At 36.9% G+C, this 27,833-nt stretch overlaps 1 protein-coding gene across 25 annotated transcripts in view; it reads right to left on the bottom strand.

Annotated features, from left to right (window-relative positions):
• RIMS1 (regulating synaptic membrane exocytosis 1) overlaps window positions 1-27,833 on the bottom strand; it is a 516,596-nt gene that overhangs the window by 407,060 nt on the left and 81,703 nt on the right. For 19 of the 25 annotated variants that reach the window (NM_014989.7, XM_017010517.3, XM_047418419.1 and 16 more), the window contains exon 2: window positions 27,023-27,103. The exons of the other annotated variants lie outside the window; for them this stretch is intronic. In NM_014989.7, coding sequence (NP_055804.2) covers window positions 27,023-27,103 — 81 coding nt within the window. The remainder of the gene's footprint in view (window positions 1-27,022; window positions 27,104-27,833) is intronic. 25 annotated transcript variants of the gene reach the window in all.

Genomic DNA, 27,833 nt, shown 5'->3' with positions numbered 1-27,833 from the left:
ATAGATGTCTGGGAGTGGTGGCTCATGCCTGTAATCTCAACACTTTGGGAGGTGGGTGGATCACTGAAGTCAGGAGTTTGAGACCAGCCTGGCCAACATGATGAAATTCCGTCTCTATTAAAATAACAAAAATTAGCCAGGCATGGTGGCACTCACCTGTACTCCCAGTTAATCTGGAGGCTGAGGAAGGAGAATCGCTTGAACTGGGAAGGCAGAGGGTGCAGTGTGCCAAGATCACGCCACTGCACTCCAGCCTGAGCGGCAAAGCAAGACTCTGTCTAAAAAAAAATATGTGAATAGATAGATACCAGAGAGCTCAAGCTCTCTTCTTTTGCGTGCAGTAAGGCACCAAGGGAAGGCCATGTGAGGACATAAGATGGCAGCCATTTATAAGCCAGTAACAGAGCTCTTACCAGAAAACCCAGAAGAAACTGATGTTGGACTTCCAGAAAGTATATTTATGTTGTCTAAGCCACTGAGTCTATGAGCTTTTGTTATGGCAGCCCAAGAAAACTAATACAAAGAAGATAATCTAGAACACATCCAGTAAACACACACACACAAACAAACACAAACAAGCAGACAGACCCAGACACAAACATACACACACACACACACACACACACACACACACGTCATATTACAGATTAAAATAATCAGAAACCAGAGACAGAACAGCTTGCCTCAGTTCATACTGCATCACTGTAAAAGGGGATAGTGATTTACAATTTACTTATCCTCAAGAGTACAAAGAAAATATAGTCTGAGGCAGAAATGATTGAGGAACTAGCTTAACATTTGGAAATTCAATTTGGAAACAGTCATTTCTAAATTAATTTCCTTTTAGTTTTGAACAGTGCATTTCAGACATAAGCTCAGCTTTTAAAGTTCTGCTTCAACTTCTCTCTGTTTTTTATAAATAATTCCTGAGGAGTGGCTCAATGGACCTCCCCTACATCACATGTCTTTTCTTCCCAGAGAAACATGGCTCACCCTTCATGATAGAAAGAGTGTTAGATCTACACTATGAAGAATTCTGTGATGCTAGCTTACTTCTTGATATGTTAATAGATCTCACATAATTCAGAACATCTATTTCTTTCTAACAAAGGCAATATTTCAAAATAATTTCTTTGCTGAAGACTAGAACAAAAGAGTTGGCTTTGAGATGCAAAAGCAAAACAAGGCCTTTGTGTTCTGGGCAGTATACCCGCCCTTCCCTTCCCCAGGCACTTAGTATCATGGTTCAGCTTTAGAGAAAGAAGCATGCAAGGCAACAAACATAATTTAAGGGAGAAATTATAACTCATCTTTTTAATATGTATAAAATACAATCTTCATTCCACTAGCAAAACTGGACTGCCACTTCAGTTTATTTTCCTTTATTCAAAAGAATAGCTGGTGAGATTGACACATTCTTTTGGGTAGCTATGATGACAAGGTGAAGCATTCTGAGGCAGCTAAGTAGAAAAATACCATTTGGATAAGGCTCAGGAATAGATTGAGACTCCTTGGGCAATTAAAAAACTATATTTAAGATGTGACAAAATGTCCCCATTATATTATCAAAATGACTTGTCTAAAGAGTGCTCTTAAAATGCCTTATACCAATACCATGCTGTGTCTTATGTTTTATGCTTCTTGAGGGCAGCTACTTTCTATTGGCACATTTATCCTTCCAATGACAATTATCTAGTAGTTTCATGCCATTATTTGAACAACAGCTAGCCTATCAACATATGGTAAGGTAAAGAAGCCAAGAGGGTTTCTACTACACGTATTTGCTGGAAATATTTTCTCTTCTTTTCTAATAAAATGTTTTGCCAAACCCCAAATGATTTTTGCTTTATCTTTCTGAAGATCAATTTTAAAGTAATAACACTAAATTCCCCACATAAATCCTCCATATTGAAAATGACAAGGGAGATAAAAATAAACAAAAGTAGCTAGGGGAATTCCCATTACCATCTCCCACGAGCTGTCTTGATAAAACAAACTATAACCATCACTGATCATTCTCCACTCTCACTGACTTAAGAGTACAATGCTCTTGAATTGTAGTCACACAAAGATACATTTTTAGAAAATAAAGCACTGCAAAAAATCACAGTGAGAATATTGACTATCGAAATTGCTTAAACATTGTTCATTTAACCAACAATAGTATTAAAAAATCTTCAATTTGTGACCATTTAATAGAAATAAAAATATATTGTGTGCATATCTGAGCCATAATTTCTGAAAGAACTCCAGTTTTTAAAATCATAAGGAAATAGCCCCCTACCACTATATGAAATCTAGATAGAATCTCCTATATACCAAACTCTATAAACTTTGCAATTTGAAAATAATTGTAAACCTAGAAAAGAATAAAAACGGTTGATGTAGGTTCAACTTGAAACTCACACAGAGCTGTCACTGTCTGTATGCTGTGAGTGGACATGTTCACCTGGATTGCTGTTGCTTTGTCCTCAGGTTTCTGGTTGTTTTGTCCTTATGTACCGAAGACAGAAAGAAGAAACAGAGACCTTTCACTCCATGGTTAATTTCTACCAAGGAAGTCTTCCCATTTAAAAATTAGGCCAATTTAAGATGCCAATCACACCAAAAATATGCCAAGTCAAAATGCCAATCACACCAAAATAGCAATGTTCCTGTTTATGTTTCTGCTTTGCATGTCATGAACTTTGGGCATGAGAACAAACAGAAATGAGCATAGATTCCACCTGAAGCTTTTCCTCTCTACATAGTGTTGAAAACAAAACAAAAGAAAATTTAAATAAAGTCACGGAACAGAGGGGCCTTGAGAGACTTTGTGGCCAGTTACTGTCTGGGACCTGTAGACAAAACAGTCTTCTTTTCTCTCTTTTAAAATGATGGGGACTGAGTCTTAAAAACCTCTCTTAACAGATCATTCTGGTGTTATAACTACCTGAACATCAAGAAGCAGCTTTACCTATAACTAATCAACATCTCAACTGATTTTATTAAATCCAATTTTTCCTTAACAATCTTGTGTGTGTTTAGATAAAAAGAACCTGATTGAAGTGCACTTGCTCATTTAAATTCCAATTAGCAGTCCTCTGAAAGTGAAATGTGATTATTTGAAAATTAAAAAAGACAAAGGCCAGACATGGTGGCTCACACCTGTAATCCCTGCACTTTGGAAGGCCAAGACCAGTGGAGTGCTGGAGCCTAGGAGTTCCAGATAAATCTAGGAAACATGGTGAAACCCCATCTCTACAAAAGATACAAAAACTTAGCCAGGTGTGGTGGTGTGCACCTGTAGTCCCAGCTACCTGGGACACTGAGATGGGAGGATCACCTGAGCCCAGGAGGTTGAAGCTGCAGTGAGCCATGAGCTGTGATCACGCTACTGCACTCCCTACTGGGCAACAGAGTAAAACTGAGCCTCAAAAAAATAAAAGGAAAAAAGAAGAGGAAGAGGAAGAAGAGGAAGAAGAAGAAGAAGAAGGAGAAGGAGAAGGAGGAGGAGAAGGAGAAGAGGAAGAAGAAGAAGAAGAAGAGGAAGAAGGAGAAGAAGAAGAGGAGGAGGGGAGGAGGAAGAGGAGGAGGAGGAGAAGAAGAAAAAGAAGGGAAGGAAGGAAGGAAGAAAGGAGAAAGAAAGAGAAAGAGAAAGAAAGAAAGAAAGAAAGAAAGAAAGAAAGAAAGAAAGAAAGAGAGAGAGAGAAAGAAAGAAGCAAGCAAAGAAAGAAAAAGGAAAAAAGATTAAACTATATTCTCCAGATAGGCCTTGGCTGTCATGCATAACATTCCTGGTGCAAATTGGCACCAATGATTCCACTGCAGTGGAGGCAAGTACCTCTGACAGTCAGGAAAACCCCACCCAAACTCCCCGTGTACCACTGGGCAGGATATTCTAATGTGACGTCTCTGAACCTCAGTGGCATTACAGGTCATGCAAGGGAGCTGAATTAGATGATCCTTTCAACCTCTTTTAGCTCTAAAATCCTGACTTCTCTATTTCATACAATTTCTTTTTTTTTTCTTTTTCTTTTTTGAGACGGAGTTTCACTCTTGTTGCTGAGGCTGGAGTGCAGTGGCGTGATCTCAGCTCACTGCAACCTTTGCCTCCCCGTTAAAGTGATTCTCCTGCCTCAGCCTCCCAAGTAGCTGGGATTACAGGCACCTGCCAACAAGCCTGGCTAACTTTTTGTATTTTTATTAGAGACAGGGTTTCACCATGTTAGCCAGGCTGGTCTCAAACTCCTGATCTCAGGTGATCCACCCACCTTGGCCTCCCAAAGTGTTGGGATTGCAGGCGTGAGCCACTGGGCCCGGCCTATTTTATATAATTTTAAGGGTTAACATACAAGTAATTTTTTAAATAAGTAAGTTCTCATAACAATACATTTGTACTTCCCACTAGATATATGAAGTCTCTAAACTACAGTACTTTATTTCTCCCTTGTTAATGTAACATATAAAGGACTCTGCATTTCATTTGAGCACTAGACTGAAACTCTGTTATGAAATAGAATATCCTTAGAGCAGGAATCCGGTCTGATATCTTTCATAATATTTAACCTAGTGATTTGTATACAGCATGTGCTTGTGTTCAATGACTAAATGAATACTAAATAAACTACACTCAGTTTGGGGAATATTTGTTGATCACAGTCATTTGTATGACCTAAAAATACGGAAAGAATCTGGGTTTCAGGATGTGCTACCAAAAAAGAATATGGCCAAGTAAATGATAAAGTAAACAGTATAGAATTAGGCATTTTTAAAAGACATGTTCAGATGTTCTGGGGAAATCGACATAAAATGCTGTTAAAAAACTAAAGTTTTTTTTTTTAATTAAAAAGACAAGTGATTCATATAGTCCAGAGGCAATTTCAAAAATAAAGTCTGCAATTTAAAGGAAGGCATTTATAAAAATAAAGTGGTTACTATATTCCTTTCAGTATGGCTTAGTGAAGCAAGTCCTAGATAAAATAAATAGAATATAGCTGAGGCTGGTAATTTTGACCTTATAAAAAAACCATTGATCTTTCTGTATTCATTTTGTTTCCTCAAATATAGTTTGAGACCAAAATCTAATGTACATAAACATATTTTAGAGCATTGTTAGATATGCCTTCTTAGATGTGACAGAATTCTGTTATCTTAATTGTTTTAAAATATATTTTATGAAGCCTTATAAGACTGGTCTGCTATTATCAATAGATGATATTATTTGAGAATACCACTATCAAACTCGAAATGAAACCCACAGTCTCAACCATGTCCTGCATGACCTGGCCTAAGCCTGCTCCTCCAGCCTCACCCCAGGCCACACTAACTGTCGCTCAGAGTGTTCCAGGGACACGTTCCTTCTGATCTCGGAGCTTACTGCCCATCCTGTCAGGGACACCCACATCCCAGCTTTTCCCAGACTGCTTCTCCTCACTTTTCAGCCCCCAGGTCTCTCATGGAAGCCATCTCCGATTTCTTTATTAAATTAGGCCCCTCTGGGCCTCTGCAGGCTGGAGGAGCAGGCTTAGGCCAGGTCATGCAGGGCACACAGAGACTGCAGGTTTTATTTCAAGTTTGATAGTGGCATTCTCAAATAATATCACCTGTTAATAATAGCTGACCACAGTCTTACAAGGCTTCATTAAATGTATTTATTTAATTATCTTTAATTCAATTTGTTTAATGAAACAAATTAAGTATAAAATGTGACTTTATCTTAAATAAAATTATGCCCTTGGAGCAAAACAAAACTTCAATGCCTGTAACCCTGTAGTGAGTGAAGCCTCACCGTGCAATTAAGTGCATTGTAAATGAGCTGCACGTATCAGTGTTTCATTCCAAAGGATAGGGAAGATGTTGTTAGTGAAGATTTCTGGAGCTTATGGAACATCTCTGGAGTTTGTGGAGTTTATGTCATTCTGGGTGACATTCAAATAAAACTGTGTAAATCTATATTTGTAAATATATAACTACATAAAATAAATAGAGGCTGTGATAGGAGGTAGGAATTAAATGAATAGGGGCAATGGTAGAGAATAGCAGAGGGGCCTACTTTAATACAGAAATCAGAGATGGCTTCCATGAGAGACCTGGGGGCTGAACAGTGAGGAGACACAGTCTGGGAGAAGCTGGGACGTGGGTGTCCCTGACACGATGGACAGCATGCTCTGAGATCAGAAGCCATATGTCCCTGGAACACTTTGAGTGAGGGTTAGTGTGGCCTGAGGTGGGGTTGGAGGAGCAGGCTTAGGCCAGGTCATGCAGGACACAGCAAAGACTGTGCATCTTATTTCGAGTTTGACAGTGGAATAGCTCCTATTCCATGATAGGGAGGGCCTTATCTTTCTAACTAACTGTTCTATTCCTGGTTGCTAGCACGGTACCTGGTACGTAGCAGATGCTCAACATATATCTACTGAATTAATGAATCGATCAATGATTACGACCAAATGTAATCAAGAAACTGTAGCACCTACATTCTTATCCATTTGGAATAAATTGATTGCAACTGTTTGCCAATATTTTGTTTGTAACTAATTGTAATTGTAATTTTTCTCATGCTTTGAGATGAGACAAATTAAGTACAAAATGTGAATTCATCTTAAATAAAATTATGCCCTTAGAGCAAAACAAAACTTCAATGCAGGCTACCCCCTGGTGAGTGAAGCTTCACCCATGAAATTAAGTGCTTTGTAAATAAGCTGCACATATCAGTGTTTCATTCCAAAGGATAGGGGAGATGTTGTTAGTGAAGATTTCTGGAGTTTATGGAACTTGAGGCAGTAATAATGACTGCCTATAATGAAAATAACAGTTAGCAAATATTGAGCACCTGTTATGTGCTAGTCACTGTACTAAAGAAGCATTATTTTTAATTTGAGTCAGTTTAATTAGAAAGTAATATATGCTTATTGTAGCAATTCAGGCAAGAGCAGTGTTCTAGTAGAATGATCTCCTCCTCTCCCTTCCCATGTGTATAATGCACCACTATTGACAATGGTATGCATATACTTCCATACTTCTTCCATTGTTTATACATTAGTCTTTGGTGTTGGATTTTTAAAGAGCTAGCTACAAACTGGTGTTGGCAATCCAGCTGCTCAGAGCTAGCGTACCTTTTATTAAGCTGTGCCTTTTCCTTACAAGTTGTTTAAAAATTGTTTAATAATCTGAATCAGTCCCACTTAGGCATGTATATATGATGCTGTTGTATTAACAAATGGCCCCCACATGTAGATGGTAACATACAAATTACTTTATTCACATAAAAATATCCCATTCCTATGTTTTCTAATAAAAAATAAAAAAATAATGTTACCAATAGTTGTAATAACAGTTACTCTGTATTACAGTTTGCTATGGGCCAGTCACAATTGTATAGTTTAATTAATTATTCCAACAACTCTCTAGGTTCACCCATTGTTTAGTTGAAGATGCTCAATTCTTTTCAGGAGCTCCTAAGAATAACAAGAATTTCACAGCAGGGCAATACCATAATTTATTCAGCCATTTTCCTATGGGTAGACATTCATGTTTTTCCAATTTATCACAGTAAACACGTTTTGTATATATATTATTACATACTGACATCGGATTTCTGCCTGAAATATTCCCAGAAATGGGATTACTAGCTCAATGAGAACACACAAGTTTTTTTTTTTAATTCCTAAGTAAAGAATTTCGGATTTTGAATTTAGTTCTCATGGACCCCAAAGAACTTGGATAGGCAAAGCAGAAACTGGATGGAATTTTGAATGAAAAGAATAAGATAGACAAGGAAATGGCAATAGGAAACAACAAGATGAGCCCATGTGGCAATCAGGATTCAGACTCAGTAAAGCTGGTGGTATAATTTTGGGGCAATTAGATATGAAAAATTGGTTACTGAAAGCAGGCTAGCATGAATCTTGATGTCAACTGAAAGAATTTAGATTTGCTGCTACAGGAAGCAAAGAACCATTTATAATTATTATTGTGACATTTTCAATAATGGGACAAATGATTAAGCATCCTTTCAGAATTGGAAGAAAAAAAAAAACTCCAGCAGTCTGCTGACCCACACATATTTGAGCATGGTGTTCTTTTCCAGACCATATGGACTTTGGCAGTCTTACTTTCCTTAGAAACTCCTTGAGTAACAGAACTAGAACAACACTCACTGTTCAAATGCAAATGCCTTCTCATCAACTCAAAATTGCTCCTATTATCAAGTTTGAGAAATATGACAACAGCAAAAGCCCTCTAAGGACACAATCAATGACACACCACAGGCAACTCTCTATTCCCAGCCCTTTCTTCTCTTCACAAAATGAAACCAGAAAGGCTACTCAGCCAATCAACTTCAAACCCTTGACTAATAAGTCCACCTTCCTCCCAGTCTACATATCTTTGTTTTCTATTGTAGCCGACCCTTCTGGATTGATAATGATATTGTGTATCTCTCATCAACCACTAGATCCAGCCAAGTGTAGTCTTATTGTAGCACAAAAGGTCAAGCCCCTAGGTATCTGTGGTGTTTGATATTTGTTGTGAACTGAATGTTTGTACCGTCCCAAAATTCATATGTTGTAGTCTAATACCCAATGGGATGGTATTGGGAAGTGGGACCTTTGAGAGTTAAGTCATGAGGCAGAGCCCTCATAAATGGGATTAGTGCCCTGTACAAGAGGAGACACAAGAGAGTTTGCTTCTTCTATCTCTGCTCTCCGCCTGTGAGGACACCATATGAAAATAGCTGTCTGTAAACCAAGAAGAGGGTCCTCAACAGAACTTGATCAATTCTAGCACGCTGATCTCAGACTTTCAGCCTCCAGAACTATGAGAAATAAATGTCTGCTTTTAAAGCTACCTAGTCAAAAGCATTTTTTAATAGCAGCCTGGAACTAAGATGACATTTTACAGAAGCCCCTAGGTTTATACAGTATCATTTATAACGTAACAATTGCTCTACCAAAAAAATGTGGAGGAGCTTGACATGAAAGCAAGATAATCCATCACCTCTACCATATATAAAATCTAACCACTCTGCATATTTCTCCTTGACTATTTTTACTTCTTCTGTATGTCATGTAAATATAAATATTCTCTATGGCTCCATCATTTATCCTCTTCTCCAAATACTCTGTAAACGCTACCATCTACACCCTGAGCATCAGTGTCACCTTAAGTCAGGAGCCCCAAAATTTTTAGACACAAATTCTGCCCAGAGTTTCAGACCCTTAGTTATGATTCCCTATTGGACATTTTTACTGAGTCAAAAGCACTCTCACACAGCAGCACCCTTGGGCTATTGCCCATTCCAACTGATTGATATTCATTCTAATGGCAATGCCCACACTGGACTGGTGGAAAAATATTTTTCATATCATGCCTGGTCACAACACATCCAATTTAGAATATCCCAAATGGAATCCCTCAATTATTTCTACTGCTTCTTATCAACTACACATCTTTTGTTTCTCTCTCAGTTAATGGTGCCATCAACTCCATTGCCCAAATAAGAAACTTCAGAGTCATTTCTATTTTCTCCTCATTCAACATCTATATCCAGTCATGATGTCTAGTTGTTTCTGCACTAGATTCTTATTTATAATCCATGCTCTTCTCCCCACGACAAGGCATCATCAGTTTCTTGATCACACATTGCCATCACTCATCTGGCCTATTGCCTTAGCCTTCTATCTGGTTGTCCTAATTCCACCATCTCCATTTTCCTGATTTTGTCCACCAGAAATATTTAGAAATGATTCAGTCAGACGAGGAATAAGAAAAATCATGGTATGCATATTATTAAAACAAACAAACAAGCTTCCTATTATGAGCCATTCTTTGTGCTAGACATTATGGACACCATGAGAAAAGACCTAGTATCTCTCTACTAAGAGGGTGAAACATTAAAAAAAAAAAAAAAAAACAAAACCCAAAGTTGTGATGGTTTCTTGACATCAAGTTAAGTTTGAATTTCTGACGTACAACAAATAATTTTTCAGTATACGTATGCCCAAGTATTGAATAAGACATACTTTTATGAAAAAAATATTAACTGTATCTGAAACTTAAATTTCATGAGGGTTGGTATTTTTATTTGCTAAATCTAGCAATTCTAAGTGTAATAAAGGATGACATATGTTAAAGTAAAGATATTCAAAGTATAGAACTACTACAAAGTAGAGAGACTAACCCTGCCTAGGAGGCATAAGCAGCTTTTGGAAAGAAATGACACTAGTTAAAGTGATTAAAAGAAGTTTACTGGTGTGTGTGTGTGTCCATACATATACATGTATGTCTCAGACATAGCGAGGGGCACTCCAGGCAGAGGAAAGAACATTTACAAAGGCAAGAAGGAGAGACTCAACAGAGTGTGTTTGCAGTGGTCTGCTGATAAATGTTTAACGGCTGTTTCTCAAAAACTAACTAAATAAAAACAGAAAAGAAAAAAGAAAGTACCAATTACTGAATTATAGGGTTTGTCAATTTCCATGGTGTAAATACTCCCACCCAAGACATATTTCAAACTTTAAATAGGATGTCACTTTAACATGGAATTGGTAAAAGATGTTTAGTGCAGTATTTCCATCATGAAGATATAATATATAATGGACGTACATAACTCAAGAGCATGGACCGTGACATGTATCAAAATAATTAGGAAGTTGGTGAGTTGAGCATTTACCTTTATTTTAATATAATTTATCTATTTTATTTTATTTTATTTTAGACAGGGTGTCACTCTGTTACCCAGGCTGCAGTGCAGTGGTGTATCACAGCCCACTATAACCTTGAACTCCTGGGCTCAAGTGGCCCTCCCACCGCAGCCTCCCGAGTAGCTGGGACTACAGGCACACGCCACCATGCCTGGCTAATGTTTTATTTTTTAATTTTTTTGGAGACAGAAGTCTCACTATGTTGCCCAGGCTAGTCTCAAATTTCTGGGCTCAAGCAATTCTCTTGCCATGGCCTCCCAAAGAGTTGGGATTACGAGCATGAGCCATGATGCCCAGTCATAATTCAGTTTTAATAATAGCCCTATTTAAACTAGATTGCAAACTTTTTGAATATCTAACAGTTGACTCTCCCAAGCTAGTATGGGCTGTCTCATGTACATTGCTGTGTGCTGGTGAACTACAATCTGTATTGGTGGAGTACAAAGTGCTTGTGTGAAGGAGGAAGAGTGTAGGAGTGCTAAGGAATAGGGAAGGGGAGGATGTTGGACTTTCCTTTTATACCACCCTCATCAGCTTATAGATAGATGGATAGGCAATAATGATGATAGATACAAACATAATAGATAGATAGATAGATAGATAGATAGATAGATAGATAGATAGATATGTACATACATACATACATACATACATACACAGATGGATACATAGATATGAAGGTTTACAATCTCAACTTACAGGACTCAACTTACAATGTTCTGCTTGTTTCTATGCAATGAAATAAAAAGAGCACCTGGAAACAGACGTCTGAGTAATAGCTCCATCAAGTACTGGCAACCAGTTTGAGCATTAATTTTCTCAAAGCACAAAGTATAATATAATAATGCCTTCTTCTCTGGGAAAAAAATTAACTAAGGTTTAACGTGTTGAGGGCTTGTAAATTATAAATTGCCAGATAAAAAATTTTAGTAACACTGTGGTTTCTACATTTTTTTCATAAGATTGTGCATTTGCTGCTTCTGTAAAAGGTAGAGACACAGCCCTATTTGTCACAGTGTAGCTCCAGCAGTACAGTTTTTTTTTTTCTTTTCCTTCAAAGATCATCCTCTTAACATTAGCTTTGAGTCCCTCTAGGCATGTCCACAACCTTTACTTCCCATTTCCCTTTCTGTGCCTCCTTCTATTTCATCTAAGAATTATTTAGCATTTCAGAATAGAGAGATGTTTTTTAAGCCTTTTTGCATTCTTCTCAGGCTGATAGAAACATATTAGAGAAATCCAATGTTCAATTAAAAATACAGTTTCCTTGTCTCTAATACATTCTGGTTATAGCTATTGAAATAACCAACTATACTTACAATTGATTATACATAAATCAATCAATAAGTAAAAATTAACATATTTCATAAGTTACAGAATGTTACTGAAAGCATGTGGAAACCTATGATAAACACATAATAGCAATTAGCAAAGATAAGATAAATGCCATGAAATCCAGACATTGGAATTTAGGCTTCACATAATAGGCAACAGCAAACCAAAATACGTTTTTTAATCAGACAGTAATATGATAAAAATGGAATTTAAGAAAGAACATCTTTTAAATATACAAGATGGTTTGCTATGTAAGTAGCTTCTTCATATTTGTACTTAAAATTTATCCACGATTTATTTCCCCCAAGTTTTGTGTAGTTAGTAGACATAAAATCTGTGCAGAAAAAACATAAATCAGTCCCTGTGCTCCACATCTGAGCATTCAGGACAGTCTGGAAAGAAAACACAAAGAAGATGGCAAGTAGTCATTTCTCTTGTTGTGTATTCTGCAACATCCCTCTTCTGGTAACCACATCTGATGACTTATTTACTTTTAACTGAGAATTTACTTAGGCTGGCTGTACAATCTCAAATTTTCTCAAAAGAAAAAAGTCATAGTCCCTATGCCAATGTTGAAAGAAAAGAAAAAAAAATCAAGTTTATGTCAATAATAAAAAAAACCCTTTTTTTCTGATTATACAATACTGACTGGGCCTTTCCCTGTATAACTTAATCTCTAAACTTAATATTTAAATGAGAAATAGAAAGAGAGACCAAGTGTGAGAGTGAGAGCATAAGCACGCTCTTGGTGGTTTCATTCTGGTATGCAATCCCACTTAAGAACCTATTGACCCTTTTTTACAACAATTAGGAAAATAATAGAGAACTAAAATAGAGCTCATAAACTTACAGCAGATCCAAGAAACACACAAATAGAACATAATGTGTGCTCTAGGAAGGCAGGTATAACCAAAGCTCAGGGAAGAAAAAATTTTGGTGAAGGGGGTGGTCAAGTACGTTTTGGAGGAAATTGTTTTGGAGCAGAGACTTGAGTCACAGGCAGGATTATCATTGGTGGAAAAAGAGGAGTGGGTGAGATATTAAAACAAGCAGTGGCAAAAGCTCGGGGTAGAAATAGAAGGGAAGGACATCTTCAATGAGTAGGGAATATTGTGGTTTTGTAAAACATTTAGACCAGAGAAGTTAGTGTTGAAGAGAAGACAATCAGGCACTGTGCAGGCAGGACTTAATTTATACATGGACTATTGGACCTAAAGGCCTTCAGAGAGGGCAGGTGCTCTGAGCAAAGCTGGGTGGGATGAATTAGACTAGTAAAGGAATAGAAGACAAAAGGCCAAGGGGTATCCAACCCCATGCAAAAAGGAGAGCCTGAAATATGAGGATGGGAGTGAGAACTGACAGAAGGAACAGATGTGAGACGATTCAGAGATTCAGAATTAGACCTGACAGGACATAGTGACTGATTACACTTAGGGAGCACACAAGGAAGTGGGGAGCTGAAGATGACTCAGGGGTTTCCCATCTGTGTGACTGTGAGAATGGAAATGTCATAAATAGATGAGAGAAGGTGAAGAAGGATGCATGAGTGTGACTGTGCTTGGGTTTGTTGGGGTGTGATGTGGAAGGAAATACTGAGTTCAGTTCCATTTAAACTTGGAACAAACAACATAATATTTGAGCACTCTTATGTGTAAAGTAGCATGCACTGTAGAAGGCAAGAACTTTAAATTTTGTGTTAATACCTACAGTCACACACACCCTGAAATAGAACTCAAAGTCACACGTTTTCCAAGCCTGAACATTTCTCATAAATGTGGCCCAAGATTATCAGCTGAGGTATCATACTAACAAGGTCTCATAGTAAAATAAGACTGCAAAGAACCAGTCCAAGTATTTTAACACTTTTAATGCTTCAAAGGATAATAGATGGTGGAAATGGCTCCCTGGAATTGCATGGAAATGCAGAGTTAGAAAAATCAAAGTGATAAAATGAAAGATGCCTTTATTCTCCTCCCTGATCCTCCATATCCTCTACTCCATAATGTTTAGCGGCTTGGTTTGCCATTATCAATAAGGGAGATAATATAATCCATCTTGAAATCATTTGTCAATTGGCATTCAGTATTCAAATCAAATCAAATCATAGTTCAAACCAAAAAAAAAAGCAATTTATATCAAGTTCCAATGGCATAGCTTAGTAGTATGCATTATAGTACACCAATGACTTCCCTGCAATACAGTCTCTTTCTTCAAGAGGTGAACACTGCAGGTGGGGAGACAAGGCAAAAGAAATGAAAAAGTGAATGATTTAAAAAAAAATAAACTAAGGCAACCAGAGAAAACATATCCCAAGATAGCATACGACTTACTGCCAAATGACTAGTGCTCTTTAAAAGTATTGCCGGATTAGAGATTAAACCCCCTTTCTGCAAGCAAAATAAAGAAGAGCCTTCATGGTTTATAAATAAGGAAACTTAGATGAAAACATTACCAATGGCAATTTTGTACATTCTCTGTCAACTTTCATCTTTTCTATGAATTTTTTCTAATGTGGGGTGAATACCACAAAGAGTGTGACCTACTCACTGATTATATATTATGTCTACCATATTAGAATGAATTATTTGAATTAAGAATCCTATGGTATTCTTGTCTTCTAACCCCACTAGATCCTAGCCCAAGATTGAGCAAGAAGAATGCTGCCAATGAATCCTGACCTGAATAGTTAAAATGAATAACCAGAAGTTAGTGGGTAAATGAATGTGATTATTAGTGGGTAAATGAACATGAGCAAATGATTTTCTTTTATGTGCCTCAGTTTCCTCATATGTAAAATGGAGACAGTAACAATACTTTATAAAGTTTCATGAGGGTTAAATGCACATAAAGTGCCTAAAACACAACAGCATATAATTGCAGTTATTGTTACCAGAGTTGATAGAAAATCAGCAAAAAGCTAAAATTAGACACTCTTCTGCTTTAATCTTATGCAGAACTTAGACTGGTGAGCAGTTTTGAAAATTTAGATGTGTGCTCTTTTTCTTTTTGATGTTCCCATATGGAATGATTCTCTCCACTGTGCCACAGAATCTTCTTTTCTGTGGATTTCTCTCAGGAATCAGAAAAGAAATGCATACTTTAGGAATGTAATTCCCTAGAAGTACTTGCCTTTTCTATCCTTATTTTTTATTAACTCTCCTTTGGTAATTCCCAGTCCCAAAATCTCAGAAAATTTTTGTCTTATCTCTTACTTGTCCCTTTCATAACTACATCCACTTGTCATTAAGGCGTACCAGTTTCTTCTTTCAAATGTCTCTCTCATCCATTTTTTCTGGAGTCATTGCCATTATTCTTACTATTATTAGCCATGTCTCATCTATTTTAATCATCTACTAATTGGTCCCTTTTTCTCCAGGAATGCCGTACGCTCATCCATCATGCATATTCCTGAAAAATTCATTATCCTGAAACTTTCCTTTCAACTAGATAGCTCCATGTTCAGATACTTTGGTGTCTCCCTTCAGAGTAAAATCCATTTATCAAAGCTGGACTTCAAGGACATTCATAAACTGGCCTCAACTGCCTTTCACAGGTTTGTATTCCTCCAACTCATTGGCCAAATATGCTTTTCAAATCAGACTATATATTCAATGTCCCCCTTGCCTGATGGCTTCATTCTGACTCCTGAACTTTTACCCACATTAATAATGTTTAAGATTTGTTATACATATAATACATGAGTGCATTCATTTATTCACCATTATCATTTTCCACTAAATACACATTAATTCACTGCATGCTTTGCCCAAGGTCCTAGGCATTATCTTTTTCTTTTATTTAATATCTTCCTTCTCACACTAGTGCAGTAGCCAGTGGGTACCGATCTCAGTTGCCACCAGTAGAGTCCACACCACCATTATATTTTGCCTCCTTTGGCTATAAGCTTCCTGTTTTTTCACAACAACCAACTATTTTCTTGGCACGGGCAGACTGTTCTCATCCTGGACAAATGACTCTGTAGAAGAGCAGAGGAAATAGCAGTGATTCACAGAGTAACCAGGCTGAGCCCTGAGGCACAGCAACTTTCTAATAATAATATTGCCAATATTTATTTATCCTTGCAATATCTGTACATGAGTTTTGAAAGAGAGGTCCAATTCAGTGATATTCACATTAATTTTGACTTATAAAATTATCACCCATCCCATCTAATCTTCATTTTTACTGAGCATATTAGTGGTACATATCAGTGATTCTAAATCAAGAGAATATGCCAAAATCACTTAGGAAAATTTTCCAAATACACGTTTCCTGGCTACCCTACTCATGCATAGTAAGGAGCATTTGATACATAATGGGGTAGTATGTCATGGAATATAAACTTCTAAAAAGTGATTCTATGCATTTTTACATCATTCCCCTGAATAAGAAACATACAGAGATAAAGATACAGTCTATGTTTTGAGAGGATTGACCAAAAAAATTATTCTCAAATTGTGTCAAGTACACTGTAAGATCATGGTAAATATTTGTTAAATTAACAAAATAAATGAATAATGTAGAGATTTTTCACTGCTACTTGAGTAGAATATATGGACAATATTTATATACTACTTTATGGAATACACAATGCTGTCATGTATATGACTAAAATTTCACGGATTTTCAGGTCTAGAGTTCAGTTATCTTCCCCTGTCCTGCTGGGTGACCCTGGGGCAAGCCACTAACATAGGTCATGTTTTGTCTTCCATATGCCAGCCAAGTACAAGCATCATCAAATCTCAGCTGTTGCCACATCATGTGGCTTAATGTAAAGCTGCCATTAAATACACTCAATCAAAAGTCTGCTTGGGCTTGCATGACCTTAGTTACATACACATACACATACACACACACATATACATAGTAGAACTACTTAAGTTCTACTCTTCCAGAACTAAATGCTTTTAATAGTCAAGAAATTGAAGAGGGCACCATCTTCTCTGAGCATTCAGAAAGAGAAAAACACAATATTATCATTAAAATAGCTATGGCAGAACAAGGGGCTTTGTAAGACTTTGTGAATTGGCATAGAACGATTTGCATAAGCCAGCAAATCATATAAAAAGAATGAAGACTATAAAAGCCACACAATTTTTTAAAATTCTGTCACTTCCTAATTATAACTATGAATTGGAAATGTCAGTGTTCCTAGAATTCTCTATTTTCAAATTACTGGCTCTACTGACTTTATTCTAAAATGCGAAAACATTTTTTTTCCTAGTTGGACATTTTTTCTAATATCAATAGAAAATTGATATTGATCCCTACTGCAGGTGGTAATACAACTATAGCCTGTGACATTAAACATCTCTTATTTTATGTGAAAACAACTTTTAACGAAGCAAGAAATTAAGACTCAATGCAATTTTGTTATAAACATGGCTAAAAATAGTACAGAGAAGGCCTGTCTCAGAAAAATAACTTCATTCATGATAAAATATATGACTAAAAGATCCTTTGCATATGACATATTCTTTTTCTTCTTGACTGGATTTTACTCAGTAAATGAGCTATATTTTTAAAAGGTGCAATATTTGTATCTAGCATATATTTTAAAAATCAGTTTCTTCACGGGTATCCAAACACCTAGAAAATTATTGAATCTTCTGTCCCAACAGACTATCAGAGTAAAAAAAATCACAATAAAAAATTTTAAATAAGTTTAAATAAGTGGAAAAATCTAGCAGTCTTTCAATTTTTATTCAATTTTACATAATTTTTGTCTTCAATATTTGAAGTGCTATATAAGTATACCTACAGTAATACAAGTGAGATTTCTAAAGTATTCAACAATAGATACCATTTAAGATACAATTGCATCCATAGTAGGATGCTTAGGATTTCATGAGAAAATATGTACATATGCATTCCGCATTCAAAGAACAGTGACCCTCTTAAGCATATTAGAGATTAGACATACGATTAGAGCCTCCTCCCCTTAGTGCACAGAAGTTCCTCTTCTCTGTTCTCCCTCACTGCTTTCAAAACTTCATGACTTTTGGCATGTGGCCAAATTCCACATGCTTCATCTCAGCTGCCACCAGTAGAGTCCAGACCACCATTATATTTTGCCTTAACTGCCACAACTGTCTCCTAAAAGTTCTCTTTCCTTACAACCCGTTTGCTACGCAACACTGGATCATGATTCCCCCTTCTTTAAAGTGCTTTAAGGGTTTCTCAATATAAGTCTTAGATAAAATCCAAAGACCCACAAGAGCTCTAGGATGGAACCCTTGCTTGTCTCAGCCATTGCCCTCTTTCTACTCACTTGCTTTCTCTGGGCTTCTTTACTTCCCTAAACATGATACTCTGTTTTCCACATAAGGACCATTTCACATACCATCATCCTTTCTGCCTGGAATTCCCTTTTCCTGGCTCTTTACAGGGCTGATTTCTATCTTTCAAGTCTCTTTTTAAATGTCACCTCCTCTTAGAGCCTTCCTTGAGCAGTCTTTCTAAATAGTTTTCCCAGTGTAGCTCTCTTTCATTGCATTCAGGTTAGGCCTTTGTTAAAAGAGAAGGGTTTTATCATCTATTTTTGTTTGTTGTTTAGATTGTCTCCTCCCATACTCCAAGCTTTACAAGGACAAAGACTCTGCTTTGTTCATGATAATATCCAGGGCCTGGCAATATGTTATGCACACAGTACAAACTAAATATTTGTTGAAGAGAGAATAAATAGGCCAATTCATTGCATAAAAGCAGTGAATTGTTTCCTCTACTGCATACTCTTCCACCTGTTGAAGAAATTCATTTCTCTTCCTTTTAACGCTATCTTCTCAGCCAAAGCTGTTTTAGCAGTGAAGGAAAGACCACATGGCTCAGCAGCAGCAAGGGTGCAAGAGCTCCCAAAACAGAGAAAGGTGGGCCAGTTTCCAATGTTTATAGGGTCTTTCCCAGACATTGAGAGAAATTATATTCATGATGGGGATGTGTCTGAGGTGGTAACAGTCTACAAGTGGATTATCCATTCTTTTGTGTTGTCCCTGACATTTCTGCCATCCGCTATTGTAGGACACAGAGTTGTGAACATTAGACCACGCAGTCTGAAGATCATGTCTAGTATGCAGAGCTTAAAGTCATAGAGAAATAATGACAAGAGCTTTTATCCAACTATTCACAATATCAAAGACCCATTCACACTTTTGTTTAATCTTTTAATTGATGTAAGACATAAATCTGAGATGTGATTATAAATAAGAAATCATATTTTCAAGCATAAAAATATATATTTCCTAATCTGCTATGGGAAAAGTATACACACAAACACATGTATAAAAACACATACATCATATATAAAAACTATCTCAAAATGAATCAAAGACCTAAATGTAAGATCTAAAAGTATAAAACTCTCAGAAGAAAACACAGGGGGAAATCTTAATGGCATTTGATATGAGAATGATTTCCTGGATGCAAGACCAAAACCACAAATAACCAAAGAAAAAATAGATCAATTAGACTTCATCAAAATTAAAAACTTGTGCTTCAAAAGTACTATCAAGAAAATGAAAAGACTATTCACTAAATGGGAGACAATATTGCAAATCATTTCTGTGACAAAGATCTTCTATCCATTACATGTGAAGAACACTTATAACTCAAAAATAAAAAAGACAAATAACACATATTTTGAAAGATCATCCTTAGAGAAAACCCAATTTTATTCTTAAAACGGAAGAAAATATTTTGATAGATATTTCTCCAAAGAAGATATAGAAATAGCCAATAAGCCCATGAAAAGTTCATCAATATCATTATTCACTAGGGAAACACAAATGAAAACCACAGTAAGACACTACTTTATACCCACTGGGATGTCCATAATATAAAAGACAGACAATAACAAGTGTTAACAAGAATTTAGGGAAATTGGAATTCTCTTATTGATAGGAATGTAAAATAATGCAGCTACTTTGAAATACAGCTTAGCAGGTCCTCAAAAAGTTAAACATACAGTTACCATATGACCCAGCAATTTTATTCCTAGGTATATACTCAAGAGAATTGAGAACATCCATATCCCCAAAAACTTGTACCTAAATGCTAATAGCAATATTATTAATAATATAGTCAAAAAGTAGAAACAATCCAAATGTCCATTAACTGATGGATGAATAAACAAAACCTGATATGTCGATACAATCACTGGGCAATAAAAGGGATAAAGTACAGATACAAGCTCTGAGTCTAGAAAACATTATGCTAAATGAAAAAAGCCAGATATAAACAGACACATATAATATGATTCCATTTATAGGAAATGTTCAGAATAGGCACACTCATAAATATAGAAAGTAATGGTTTCAGATGCTGTATTTTGAGGAGAATGGGGTAATGAAAGCTAAAAGGTATGAAATTTCTTTTTCAGGGTGATGAAAACATTCCTGAATTACATAGTGATGATGGCTGCACAGCTTTTTGAAAACCACTAAATTGTACTCTTTAAAAAGGTGAATTGTATGGTATGTGCATTGTATCTCAATTTTTTAAAAACAGGTAATCACCAGCAAAAACTACAAACAAAACAAAACATCAGAATTTACTGATTCATGTACCATGATTCAATTTACTCCTGATAATGTCACCTTCCACAGAAAAGCAAACATAATTTGGCTAAGCATAGTTTTTCCTTGGCTATCATATTCTCTTTCTGGATTTTCACCTTCAAATTCTAACTTTATTAGTTCTAGGGTGACCAACCATTCAGTCTGCCCAGGTCTAACAGAAGTTCTCAGGACATGGGAGTTTTAGTGCTAAAATACGGAAAGTTCCAGAAAAACCGGGACAAGTTTGTTTTTGCATGACATTGCATAATTTTCTTAAGTCCTCCAATCCTCGTTTAAGTACTGGTTATACCCACTATAGATTGTTTATTTTTTGTATATATGAAATGTTTATATATTGACAGAATTTTTAATAACATGATGTTTATCACCTAGTCTATGCAAAACAATGACATAACACTTATGTCTCGATATCACTGGTGTCTGGCTTTTTAAAAAATTTTATTTTTCCATAAGTTATTGGGGTACAGGTGGTATTTGGGTTACATGAGTAAGTTCTTTAGGTGGAGATTTGTGAGAACCTGGTGCACCCATCACCCGTTTATATTCCTTCCTTTTATCTCTACACCTCCTCCCAATGCTATTTCACTTGTTTTAATGGTTTATGTTATAAGGTAATTGCTTACAAATTAATGTATCTTTTCTAAGTCTCTCCTGAGTTTGAAATAGAATAGCCAACTGTTTTCTGAGTGTTGCAATTGGAGATTTCCTTGGCTACTAATACTCGAATCTAATGCTGTGTGTAAACCTGCCTTAGTGCCTAAATTAGCTCTCTTCTTGATTTTATCATATCCATTTAATCTCTTGAGCTAAAATGACTTATCTTGCCTCCTTTGTTTTCTTATCACATCTAATGAATCACTATATTCTAATTATACCACACATGAAATTTTCTCAAATCTTCTCTACCTCCTGCCTCTCCTACCTGGTCCCCCTAACATATGTGCCTGAGACTGAAGAGTAGCCAAGTCTTTCTCGGACTTTTTAAATCCATGATAACTCTGAAAAACACACAAAAAAGATTATTTTAAATCAAATTTCAAAATAAAACGCAGTATTAAAAGTAAAACCAAAGCCAAGGTACGAGTTGCTTATTTTCTCCAAATTAGATAACTGTCCTATTCTTCTGATGCAGCACTTCCTGCCTCTGATCTTTCTCCCTCTTTAACACACTTACACCTATACGCATGCCCACACACAAATTCCCACCCACCCACGAAACCACATACACACATACACACACACTGCAGTGAATTCCTATAATTTTATGTTACCTTGGCATCCATTTTAAATATAAATTGAACGTTCTCATACCAGAAGCAGAGTTTAGCAACCATTGGCACAGCTGCCAGTTCTCTGCCTCCTCCCTGTTCCTTAAGGTGATCAATCCAGATCTACCTCATACAACTGCCTCCTGGTGAAACAACTTCCCATGGGACAGCTAGTTACAAGATATGTGATTTGCCCACTGACCCCCAACACCTCCCCAGATATGCCACAGGGACCACCTCTCAGTACAGCATGACTCCACTGAGCTAGTGCCCCCTTGCTCTATCTACACTGACCAATTAGAACTCCATGAGGAAAACCTGCGTGGGTAAGAGCCTGGACACCAGTAAAGGCTCTGGCCTATGAGTCCCTCACTCTCTCTCTCTTGCTCTCCACTAGCTAGTTGCACGTGTATTTCTAAGACAGCTCCCAGCTTCCTATTGGCCCTTGGAGGTATGCCGGCCCCTTCTCGCTAGGATCTATCAGTGACACACTGCTTCTGTTATTTCATGTGTTTTATTGTGTTGCCTCCTCTGTGTCTCACTTGACTGACACACCTGAACCTAACTCTCCTCCTAGCCAGGGCTCTCCTGGACAACTCTCCTGACATCTTGGTAGGAATAAACTGGACACAGGTCAGTTAAGAGCCACAGGGGTATCTGCCATTATGAACAAGTTTCCTTTGAGAGGGGCATTTGGTCACAGGTCAGTCACTTTAGCATTAGGCCGTTCACAAAGATGAAGAACTATTCCATGAAAGGCACACTGTAAACATCCATGACCACCCACCCGGAGCCCCATTGACACAGGGCTAGAGTTTATAGCCACTGTTGAGAGAGACCTTAAGACCAAATAAGAAAAATACAATGCATACAGATTCCAGTAGTCAGTATATGGTTTAAATTACCCCAGCACAACCTGATGTTCTGGGTCTCAGGGTAATTGTTTTCTGCTTCTGGAAGATGGTACCTAAATTTACATACCTACTAAACTATTCAGTCTTTAAAATCCATATTACTGTCCGGGCGCAGTGGCTCACACCTGTAATCCCAGCACTTTGGGAGGCCAAGGTGGGCGGATCACGAAGTCAGGAGTTCAAGACCAGCCTGACCAACATGGTGAAACCCTGTCTCTACTAAAAATACAAAAAGTAGCTGGGTGTGGTGGCGCATGCCTGTAATCCCAGCTACTTGGGAGGCAGAAGAATCACTTGAACCCGGGAGGCAGAGGTTGCAGTGAGCTGAGATTATGCCACTGCACTCCAGCCTGGGTGGCAGAGCAAGACTCCGTCTCAAAAAACAAACAAACAAAAAATCCGTATTACTGTTGCAGCTCTGTAAATCCTTCCCTGACCACATCAAGCCCAAACAGAATAAATCATTTTCTCTTTTTAAACGCATTTTAGTATTGTATTTATTATTCAGTATTATAATTTATTTGATTATCTATCTTCTCCTCCCCCAACTTGAGAAGAAACTCTTAAGAAAAAGATTCTATCTCATTTATATATCTCATTTTTCTATCTTATACCCAAGGAATAGCAGGCATATGACTCAATTCATTGAACTCCAGTAATATCTTGATATATTTATTACTTTGATTAAGTGATGACAACTCAGGCAGCATGCTTAAAATATGACTGAGTGACATTTTAACAATAACTTAAAAGGAACATTTGGATAGTTTATGTACATAGTTATCAAAAATATAAAGTATATTGACATGTGTATCCATCAGTCTAGACTTGCATAATAGAATACACCAAGTGATATGAGTACTATCACCCTGCTTCCTGTCTCTCTACCAACTACTCTTTTTCTTTTTCCCTACTCGGTTGAGCTTTTAGAGAAAGTCATGTACATTTACCCTCTCCTTTTCCTGACTTCTCATTTCCTCCTCAAGCCTACAGAAGTACAGCATTTCCACCCACTTATATATTGAAAATGCTATGGTAAATGCCACCAATGGCCTCTATATGACGAAAACCAAAGCACACTTTTCATCCCTTATTTCTTGATTTTCTGCTGCATTTAACACTGTTGGGCATTCCCCTTGAATCCCTCTACTACCTTGGCTTCTGGTTCTTTACTACTTCTTGGCTGAGTTGGGGGACCCTCATACTTTACTCATTCCTTAAACATTGCTTTTACCTAGGGCTCGCTCTTATTTTTTTTTCTATGTATCCTGTGGTGATGTCATCTATTTCCCCAGTTAACTGAGTGCTAAAGGTTAACAGAGCCAACCTCTTGTTAGATATATATGCTTGGATAACTTACAGGTATTACAAAATCACTATATGAAAATCTGAACTCACCACTGTCCATCTGATATGGTTTGGGTGTGTTCCCAACCCAAATCTCATCTTGAATTCCCATGTATTGGCGGAGGGACCCAGTGGGAGGTAATTGAATCATGAGGGCAGGTCTTTCCCATGCTGTTCTCATGATAGTGAATAAGTTTCATGAGATCTGATGATAACATGAGGGGGAGTTTCCCTGCACAAGCTCTTCTCTTGTCTGCTGCCATGTGAGATGTGCCTTTCACCTTCCAGCATGATTGTGAGACCTCCCCAGCCATGTGGAACTGTAAGTCCAATAAACCTCTTTATTTTGTAAAATGCCCAGTCTCAGGTATGTCTTTATCAGTAGCATGAAAACAGGCTAATACACCATCTATGCCTAGATTTGGTTTACAGCTTTAATTCAACTTCTTGGTAGTGGCTCTTAGTCACCCAAGCCATTAATATGGTAATCCCCCTAAACTCTTTCCTTAAAACCCATATTCAATTGGCAATCAAGCATTGCCCATTTTACTTCTCACTTAGCTCTTGAAATGTCTCCTTCTCATAACCTCTACTACTCCTTCCTCTAAGTTGAGACCTTATTATCTTTCCCTGACCTATTGCAATAGTTTGTTAATTGATTTACTTGTCTCTAGTTTTGCCCACTTCACATTCATAGTCCATTTTCCCTACTTCTCTCAAAGCAAATAATACATATTATCTATACACACACATCCACTGATAAAGCAAATCTGATTATGCCATTCCTCTAATTAAAACCCATTAATGCAATCCTCATAACTGCAATGTTTATTAAATTTTATATTTTGACACAGTTACCATATAGAGAAATCTAAGTTCTGTCCTAAAATACTAACCTGGGGGGCACTCATATTTTCTATTATCTTTTATTTTTAAAAAAAATATTAAAAGAGGTCTGGTCACTAGCCTCTATTGATTTTCAGACCCACTGAAAATCATAAATTACAAATTTAAAAATACTGATCTATAAGCTAAAGCCTGTCCTCAATTACCCCCTCCCAATTTATTTTTGTCCTTTCCATGTTAACCTAAAAAGGGATTTATGTGGCTATGGAGAGTTCCATTCACAAACATTACTCTCTACAGAGAATCAGCTATCATAAGGAATGAAAGCAAACTTTAAATTCTTCAAGTCACTGGCAGAGAAGTTCATTATTTTAAACAGAAAAGAATTGAGTGAGCAAAGAGACTGTCAAAAAGCAGGATCCAAAGAATCTATAGTTGCTTCTTCTCGGCCACTAAACTCAAAGAGCCACAGGGAAGTTTCCACAAGGTGCAATTAAAGTGACGACAGATTTCTACAACTGTGAAAGTGAAAACAAAGTAAGAGAAAAATTATCTAATGTCTTGTTTTGGAGGATGGCAAATGCTAGTTCATATCTAATAATGTGTAATTTAAAATGAACTTTGGAATAGGTGAGACCAATTAAAATGAAACCTCGATACGTGGAATATAAAGAGATTTTAAAATCAATGTTAATTCCTCAAAGAATTTGAATTCTAAAATAAATAAAATGTTTTCTAATTCCTAGAATATAAGATGAAAACTGGGGATGTAAGTTTTCTATGAATTATCCAAAAAGTTCCATCATACAAAAATGGCTTTACATACAGTCAGAATATCTATAGGCAAAAGAAAAATGACAACATCATTTAAAGTACTTCTTCCAAGTTTGTACTTTTTAAAATGTAATTATCAATCATTTTTACTATTGCTAATTCAAAACTATTTTTATTTCTTGGAAAATACTGATTAAATGTGGAAGATGATATTCAAGTATACTTATTGGGGTAAAACCTATAACACCTATTAAGCCTCCTGAAATTTACCACATTTCATATCCTAAAACATAAATAATTTTAAATGATATGTTACTGTATGTAATATACAAAATATAAGCATTTCAATGACCAAATAAAGGGTAAAGCAGGGAGTAGAGAAGAAATCAAATCAGTCAACTCTGAGTTTCAAATGTGAATGAAACTCTTTCTGTTGGTCATTTAATTAATCATTAGGATCTACACTTAAGAATTCAATAATAAAAATGAAACTAGATGGACAATCCACTTTTGTTTTTGTTTTTGTTTTTGTTTTGAGACAGGGTCTCACTCTGTCACCCAGGCTGGAGTACAGTGGCACGATCTTGGCTTACGGCAGCCTCCACCTCACAGGTTCAGGTGATTTTCCTGCCTCAGCCTCCCAAGTAGCTGGGATTACAGATGCCCACTACCACGCCCAGCTAATTTTTGTATTTTTAGTAGAGACGGGGTTTCACCATATTGGCCAGGCTGGTCCCAAACTCCATACCTCAGGTGATCCACCCGCCTCAGCCTTCAAAAGTGCTGGGATTACGGGCATGAGCCACCGTGCCCAGCCGACAATCAACTTTTAAAAATTGTCAGTTACCTTTAAATAATATATGTTGAGGGTTAGATAATGGACTACCTATGCATTTCCCTTAAACACACTGGCCCCCACTCAGCACCCTGTCTGTATCTTGCCTCCATACTTCTCTGAGGTGTTATATTCCAGCTCATACACATTCCAAATCTAAAACAATCAAACAAACAAAAAAGAATTGCTGTCATTTTAGAGCCCTAAGAAAACTGTCCCTTTTCTTCAACTAGTTTAATCCTTTCAATATGGTATTAGAAACATCACTTAACAAAAATATTAAATCCAGAGCTCAGCTAATTTTATCTAATTCAACAGTAGCCTTTTTGTTACATATACAAGAGCAGCCAGAGTATCTACTCTCACATGCAATGTGAATAAATCTGTAACCATGATCTGTGTAAGAGACGACATTTTCAGTCAATAAAACCAATGCCATACTCACGGTGAAGGTTGGTGGGGCTGGTTTTCAGCATTTCTTGGTGTTTTGCAGGCAGCAGGCTTCGCCATGTCCCTGACAACACACCTGGGGCGCATGATAGACAGCACAACGCACTATTAATTATAAAAAGGGTAGAACACATCTAGAAATTAAACACGGTACTGAAAAACACTCTAAGGGAAAGTCTTTGAAAGCCCCTTCAACATTAACCTTGGGGCCCCAGCAAAGCCCTTGGAGTTGGAAACCTTTGACTCAGGCTTCCAAAAGCTCAATTATACCCGAATAAAATCTGTGCTAGCCTCTGTATTTGACTTTCCTTTTAGCATCAATAACATGATTGTCAGCAGCTTTTCCCATAGCAGAAAAGCTACTGAAAGCTTTGGCATGACCATATGAAGATGTCTGAAAGCTTAAAAATAGGAACAGCTGTTGCGTTGATATGTTAAATTTTGAGCAGGATATTCTGTGACTTTTGCTATTTTACTAAAAAATACAGACTTTTCTTTCACACCATCAATCACCACACAGGTCTTTCTGTTTATGCAAAAAGATCTGAGAGGCCTCAAGGCATCCCCCTTGTTCAAAATTTCCTCATGCTAGGAGGGGAGGAAAAGATCAAAGAAATGTTCATATATAAAGAGTGTGTGTGTGTGTGTAAAAGAAGAAAAGATACCTCCAAAATGTGAAAAAAAGTAATTAAATGTCTTTGTGCCTTAAGTCATGCATCACAAAATAAATGCAGATGGTAGACAATATAACAAAGCTCCAAAGGGCAGCAGGAGGAGATACTCCTACTTTCATGAAAACAGGGCTT

This window comes from Homo sapiens, chromosome 6 (assembly GCF_000001405.40).
Source record: "Homo sapiens chromosome 6, GRCh38.p14 Primary Assembly".
In the NCBI taxonomy this organism is placed as follows: Eukaryota; Metazoa; Chordata; class Mammalia; order Primates; family Hominidae; genus Homo; species Homo sapiens.
Note: the sequence above shows the minus strand (reverse complement) of the source record. Positions and strands in the feature narration are given on the sequence as shown.